The 7621-nt window shown below is 42.3% G+C and overlaps 1 protein-coding gene across 9 annotated transcripts in view, besides 1 other annotated feature; it reads right to left on the reverse strand.

Moving 5' to 3' along the window:
* The window catches only part of MTUS1 (microtubule associated scaffold protein 1), a 157720-nt gene that overhangs the window by 149913 nt on the left and 186 nt on the right, over positions 1-7621 (reverse strand). For 5 of the 9 annotated variants that reach the window (NR_156437.2, NM_001363060.2, NM_001363062.2 and 2 more), the window contains exon 1: positions 7347-7380. The exons of 1 other annotated variant lie outside the window; for it this stretch is intronic. The gene's annotated coding sequence lies outside the window, so the exon portion shown is untranslated. Of the gene's footprint in view, positions 1-1781; positions 1840-6883; positions 7204-7346; positions 7381-7621 lie in introns of those variants that run through there. 3 more of the 9 variants (NM_001001925.3, NM_001001924.3, NM_001363058.2) reach the window with 2 other exon arrangements.
* Positions 7494-7613: a silencer, noted in NCBI's record as "silent region_18963". NCBI's record gives its function as "represses an Ori minimal core promoter by ATAC-STARR-seq in GM12878 lymphoblastoid cells {active_cell/tissue: GM12878}" and the evidence as "EXISTENCE:reporter gene assay evidence [ECO:0000049][PMID:35858748]".

The raw sequence follows: 7621 nt of genomic DNA on the forward strand, positions 1-7621 counted from the left end.
TAATCCTTTTGGTGAGAAGGAAAAGGGTAAGCATGATTAATGACAAGGATGCTTTATATAACCAAGAATGTCAATACAACCTACGTGACCAAACTTTGGTCAAGTCAGCAGGTGGAATTTTTAATGCAAAGCCCAACGTTAACAACCTGGGAGAATATTTCGAACAACACAAACACTTACTAACATCTCCAAAACTGCACTTTTCACAATGATTGGGGTTTCTCTGACTCCTCCAAGAAAAGAGGTCAAATTCTTTTTTTTCTCTTCTACCTCAGTGTTTGGCCCATAGAAAGTGCTCAAAAATGGCTGAGGCTGAGGAAAACCAAACACAGGCCGGGCACAGTGGCTCACGTCTGTAGTCCCAGCACTTTGGGAGGCCAAGGCCGGTGGATCACCTGAGGTCAGGAGTTCGAGACCAGCCTGATCAACATGGTGAAACCCTGTCTCTACTAAAAATAAAAAATGAAGACGGGCGTGGTGGTGCATGCCTGTAATCCCAGCTACTCAGAAAGCTGAGGCAGGAGAATCGCTTGAACCCAGGAGGCGGACACTGCAGTGAGCCAAGATCACGCCACTGCACTCCAGCCTGGGCAACAAGAGCAAAACTCTGTCTCAAAAAAAAAGATAAAAGAAAAAAAAATCAAACATAATATTCTAACAGCAAGGATTTTTACTCATGCTTTTTATTTATCATTTTACATGAAATATAAGCCTAACTATACACTACGTATAAATGACTTGGTTCTGTATGTGGGGCCTAGATTGGGGATCTAATACAACACGTGAATTTTTCTTGGTAGCTAGGTCTTGGCATGGCTCAGCCCTTTTAAATCCATTTCTCATTCTCCAATATCCTTCTACCCTATCCTGACCCACCAGCAAGGAGGACTTCTGCAATCCTCACTTCAATTAAAGCCTGTTGGCTTAGGGTCACAGTAATAAGCAAATATGGTTCAATTCTGTAATTTGATTAACAACGAAATGATTAACAGTATAGCAGTTTACAGTATAATAAAAAATAAGATTTTAACAGTGCAAGGTGACTTAATCAGAATTCTGGGAAATATGACTCAACCACCTTGACACAGAGGTCAGGGGAAGGGGGTAGGTCTATGTTTCAATGTCATCTCAGAAACTGCTCATATCTATGCTGGCTTCTATTTTCATTCCGTAAAGCTAGCCAAGGGAGCTATGTTTTACGAGGACATGCAGTTTCAACTTCGTATCATTCATAGCTAACAATCATGCAAAAATCTACAAAATAAACATTAAGGAAAATAAATTTCTTATTTGTCACTGAACACTGCTGAATACCTCCTATGAACTGCTTATCTGAAATAAGGTGAAGAAATATTGATTCTTTTCATCCAGATTGGTATATGTGTAAATAACACCTGAGTTAAATATTACCATGTTTCCAATGTACAAAAAGCATAAAAGATAAGCTAACTACCCAACAGTCAAGACTTAATGAACACTGTCACAAACATTATTTACACAAGAATGTATGTTACGCCTCTTCTTCCTAGTCTCCTGATAAGTATGAGTCTTTCCCAAGATTCCCTTTTCAATGTCATTTTAGGACACAAAATGTCCTTAAATGTTTTAGTTAACAGTAGAAGATCAGAATAATTATATTTGATTAGTCCTCAAATTTAAATACTAATTTTCTTTTCTTCTGCATCATGCTTAAGACACAATTTACTTATAAGGTACACATTTATGCATTTAAAAGAATAAGGTCATTTAATGGTTTAAAAACCTCTTCCAATACATCTTACCTGAAAGACTGATCCATTCCTAGTCTGTTCTTCCCTTTAGATGAGTTCACACTGTGTCCTAGCAATAAAGCTTCTAGGTTAGAATGAGGGTAAAATGTGTGTTTTTCTTACTTTTATTTATGTAGCTAATGTGTATACAAGAATATTCCTTTTATTCCTTTTTAGACAGAGTCTTACTCTGTCACCCAGGCTAGAGGGCAGTGATGCGATCTCGGCTCACTGCAACCTCCGCCTCCCGGGTTCAAGTGATTCTCCTGCCTCAGCCTCCCACGTAGCGGGGATATAAGCACCCACCACCACACCAGCTACTTTTGTATTTTTAGTAGAGTCGGGTTTCACCATGTTAGCCAAGCTGGTCTCAAACTCCTGACCTCAGGTGATCCACCTGCCTTGGCCTCCCAAATTGCTGGGATTACAGGTGTGAGCCACTGAGCCAGGCCCAAGAACATTCTTTTTTTCTGTTTTTCTTTTGGAGACAAAGTCTCACTCTGTTGGCCAGGCTGGAGGGCAGTGGAGCGATCTCAGCTCACTGCAACCTCCGCCTCCTGGATTCAAGGAATTCTCCTGCCTCAGCCTCCTGAGTAGCTGGGATTACAGGCGCCCACCACCACACCCAGCTAATTTTTTGTATTTTTAGTAGAGATGGGGTTTCACTATGTTGGCCAGGGTAGTCTAGAACTCCTGACCTGAAGTGATCCGCTTGGCTTGGCCTCCCAAAGTGCTGGGATTACAATGAGCCACCACGCCCAGCCCCAAGAACATTCTTACTTTAGATATGGGCCTGCTAGCAAGATTTAAATGCAGTTTATCTTTGAATAAATACATTTTTATTACTTTACAATATACAGCTTGAAGTCTAAACTTTAATGAACAAAGTTATTTTGTAATCAAGATTTATATGCAAATACGTACTTCTAAAGTACCTGAAAGCTATTTACTTAAGTGAAGCACTTCCAAGTTCGACCTTGTTCACACTCTAAACTTGTTGAGAAAACCCACCCTTTCTTCCTTGATTGTGTAACATTTATATATCAGAGCAATCACAAGTTGCCAATCTGCTTCTAGGGTATGAAAAGGAAGTTTTATCTTATGTATCCACATGGCAAAGAGCCCCCAAATCTGTCACCTCCAAAATGGAAGTCTCTTTTACCATTTCTAAGGCCAAGTGAGCAAGAAAAAGTCATGATTAATGTCATCATGGAAAATTGCCCCATATCCAAGAGTAAATTCAAAGATTACTGAGGGATTTTTCTCTAAGAAAATAAATAAATAACCATCATCAGGGCAATCATCTACAAAACTTGGTTTAGAAATAAATTTTTAGGCCGGACTTTTAGGCCAGACACAGCGGCTCACGCTTGTAATCCCAGCATTTGGGAGGCTGACGTAGGCAATCACTTGAGGTCAGGAATTCGAGACCAAGTTGGCCAACATGGTGAAACCCTGTCTCCACTAAAAATACAAAAATTAGCCAGGCATGGTGGCGCACACCTGTAATCCCAGCTACTCAGGAGGCTGAGGCAGGAGAATCACTTGAACCTGAGAGGTGGGGGTTGCAGTGAGCTGAGATCGCACGCACCACTGCACTCCAACCTGGGCCACAGAGTGAGACTCCATCTCAAAATAAATTTTTAGGCTGAGGGCGGTGGCTCATGCCTCTAATCCTAGCACTCTGGGAGGCTGAAGTGGGAGGATTTGCTTGAGCCCAGCAGTTCAAATCCAGCCTGGGCAACATGGCAAAACCTTGTCTCTACAAAAAATACAAAAATTAGCCAGGCATGGCGGCACATGACTGTAGTCCCAGATACTCAGGAGGCTGAGGCGGGAGGATAGCTTGAGCCTGGGACGTGAAGGCTGCAGTAAGCTATGATCATGCTACTGTATTCCAGCCTGGGTGACACAGCAATATCCCGTCTCAAAAAATAAAATAAAATAAAATAAAATAAAAAGTTAGAAGAAATTACAAGTCAAATTCAACTCCTGGTTATACTGGACCATCCAAAACCAGGTATAAAGTCTCCCTGGTCAAAGTAGGCTTTTCGGGGCCAGATTTCAAGCTAGCTGAGTTCATACCATCCCATCTAGTCCTTCATTTCCTGTGGGTGGGATCGCTCATCCTCCTTCTCAGGAGGCCACAGTCACCACTGTATCCGCTGCTAAGTGGTCACCTCCCTCCGGGGCCTGCCTTCTTCCAGAGAAAGTCTGAGGCCATTTTTAAGTGCCCCTAAGCACGCAGATCCTGAACTCCAATTTCATCCTTATGGCTCAAATATGGTCCTATCGCTTACTCTTACGCTCTAAGCTTGGGGAATAAAAGGGACTCAGGCTCTCATGGAGAACACACTTCCTTTAGTGAGGACTTTCAGGGTATATTCAAGCTTTCACAACACAGAGAAAGAACCCAACTTTGAGATATCAGGAAGACGTGTTCCCCCGCCCCCCCAAATAAATACTTTGCTGAGTAGCAGTATTGGAAATTAATCCAGGAAATTTTTTAACTACGTATGCAGTACATTTGTCTGGACATCAACAAGTCCGTATGAAACCACAATAATGACTATAAAAAGAAGAATCTGGCAAAATGATACTACAAATAGATTACTGACAATAAATGGAGTGTGAGCCTACTTTGTATAATCACAGAATAACAGATCTGAAAAACATTCAGTCTTAGGGATTTAAAACTTTCTGCTCTGATTTCAAAGGATGTTGTTCCTAATAGTATATACCAGGCCCAGTGGCTTCTCATCAACAAATGCAATTAGTTTTGCAACAGTCTCTAACCCAAGATATGGAAGTTCTTGCAATGAATTTGAAAAGATTCTAATTTAGAATTTGGGGAATTTTTTTTTTTTAAGATGGAGTTTTGCCCTGTTGCCCAGGCTGGAGTGCACTGGAGTGATCTCGGCTCACTGCAACCTCCACCTCCCGGGTTCAAGCGCTTCTCCTGCCTCAGCGTCCCAAGTAGCTGAGATTACAGATCCATGCCAACACAATTGACTAATTTTTTGTATCTTTAGTAGAGACGGGGTTTCACCATGTTGCCCAGGCTGGTCTCGAACCCCTGACCTCCTGATCCGCCCGCCTTGGCTTCCCAAAGTGCTGGGATTAGAGGCGTGAGCCACCGCACCCGGCTGGAAAATTTTTTTTAAATCTTCTACCACAGTCACATATAGTTCTGAAGCTACGATTTAGAAGTGTTAAAAATTCTGTTTTGAGAAAGTCAACAGATTTATCAACATTAAAGAAATTTGTGTATGTCAAAACTACTGTAAATATATAAAGCAAAGATAAAATGGGAAAAGTATCTGCAATATGAATGGCAAAGATTTACTATCAATCCATAAAAGGCTCTTATGAATTAATGGAAAAATACTAATATCCCAGGAGAAAAATCTGGCACTACATCAAATTTCAAAATGGAAAACAACTAGATTTCTTTGGTGTTCAAATCATCTGTAATCAAAGAAATTGAAGTTTAAATATAGAGAAAGCACTGTTCACCTATAAACCTGGGAAGAATTTTTTTTTTTTCCCTTTAAGGATGATTCTACATGTTGACAAGAATACGGTAACACCAGTATTCTCACAGAGAGCTGGTGGGAACATAATTTGGTTAAACATTTTTTGGAAAGCAAATGGTCAATATGTATGAGGAGATCTTCCAACCATCAACTGTATTTCAAGGGCACTAAGGATATTAACCCTGCACATAAAGTTTTAAAAACGTATTTGTTGCAAAAGTATATTTAGTAAGTGGAAATAAATGAAAACCAGTTTGATACATCTATGTAATGTAATATTAAGTAGCCACTAAGATTTCTGAAGATTTCATGACATGGAAAATTTTTCATGATACATTAATCAGGAAAAAACCTCCACGCAATAGTATATTTAGATAAACTATATAACTATAAAAAATTTTTCTATATATTAACAAGTATTTTCTTAAATATTAACTGTGATTATCTTTGCTGAAATTGCTTAACTCACTTTTCTCAATCTACCTATTTTTATACAGCAAGCACGGATTACTTTTGAAATCAAAACAAACAGGGTTAACAGAACAGGGCTATTAAGTAACAGGCTTTTTAAATGCTTGAGTGTAATAACTGCAGGTTAGTTTCCAAAAAATATAAGATATTATCTAGAATCTTATAATCCTATTATACTCCAAAATGTAACCTTGACTTATTGACATAATTAAAAGGTCTTGTTCCAAGCATGATTTTCTACCAAGCAGATTTACCAAGAATTATTTTCTCTTCATAAACCTGATTTTAAAAAGAACAGGTGAAAAAACGTGGTGCAAGTTACATAAATAACTACATATTATTTTAAACTAAATTCCACTTCTAAGGTTTTTTAGCTTTGGTTTTAAGGATAAGCATGTAGTTCTAATCTTTTCTTTGTATAGCTTTCCTAATGGAATATATTGCCTATGAAAAAAAAAAAATCTGTAACAGCACTTTCTACACTGTAAAGCACTGTACTAACAGGACATCACCATTTTAAGTTGTGTATCATTTCCTGCCCTAACCATCCCTGAAAAAGCAAACTGTCTACAGAATTGCAATTCCGTTTATGCAATTCCTTTTAAAGTTGTCCATGCACTGTTATCTTGTATATACCCTCCTTAAAGAGGTCACTGGTTCCCAGGAAGCAATGACTCTCTTTTTTAATCCCCTCCCTCCTGCATTGCCTCCCTTCCTCCTGAAATTCACTGGTAACACCCCTACTCCCACCCTCCAGCCCCAGCGCTGTGATTTAGTGATGATTGACTTTCGATCACCTGCACCTGGCAAAACTTGAAAGCTTCCACGCACCGTTTTGCCTAAGACTTTGGTTTCATTGAAACAAACAAAACACACTGGATTTCCTTTCTTAGAACACTGACTACTTCAAACAAACAGTATTTAACAGAGTATGTGTAACTACGCAGGCTAAATGAATTAACCTCTTCCTTCCTAGTCCCAAATTACTCCAAGTCAAAAATCAACAAACAACTTGGTAGAAAGGAGTACGTCTTCAAAAAAGAACAAAAACGTTCCTCAGTGAACACCTAAGTCCACTAAGCACTATAGAGTAGTCAATAAGGTCACCTTAATTAAGATGAGATTTTTCTAGAGCGTGAAAAAGTGCAAACAAGCTGCAGAAAGTAGCGAGGCGCCACGAGGGGTCTTTGGGACCTGCAGCAACCCTATTCCACCCGCTTTCTCGGCCCCGCTTGCTTCTGCTGAGAAGGGGCCCTGCGAGAAGGCTGGGACCGCCGGGCCCGGGTGGGCGGCGTAAGGAGTCCACAGTCAAGCCCCTCGGTCACTTTCAAGGTGACAGCGACGAGATCCGCATCCGTCCCTTCCGCAGGCTCTGCGCTGGCCCACGTGAGACCCGCCTCCGCTCCGCCGGCGCTGCCGCCCCCTTTAGCCCTCAGCTTCGGCCCCCAGGCCCCTGGAACGCCCCCTCCCCTCCCCGAGGACCGGTCCCGTCACCCTGGGCGGCGCGCTCGCCTGTCCCCTCCCCACCCCGGCCGCCGGGCAGCGGGAACAGATTCCAGCGCGCACTTACCCGCAGCTCCTTCAAGCGCTCCGGGAGCAAAGACGCAGAGGCGGGGAGGGCTGGCGCCCTTTGCACCACTGGCGGGGTCGCCGAGAACCCGCCCCGGAGGTCTCGGGGGCGGCGTCTGCACCTGGGGGCGCGCGGCGCGGCACCACCCCACGCCTGCGGCGGCTACCAGGCGGGACCCGGAGCCCCGGCCTCCCCGCCTCCCCGCCTCCGGGGCCGCCAGGGGGTGGAGCAGGGCGGGGAGTTCGGGAAACTTGTAAATAGCCGAACTCGGGCCT

This window comes from Homo sapiens, chromosome 8, assembly GCF_000001405.40.
Source record: "Homo sapiens chromosome 8, GRCh38.p14 Primary Assembly".
Classification (NCBI taxonomy): Eukaryota; Metazoa; Chordata; class Mammalia; order Primates; family Hominidae; genus Homo; species Homo sapiens.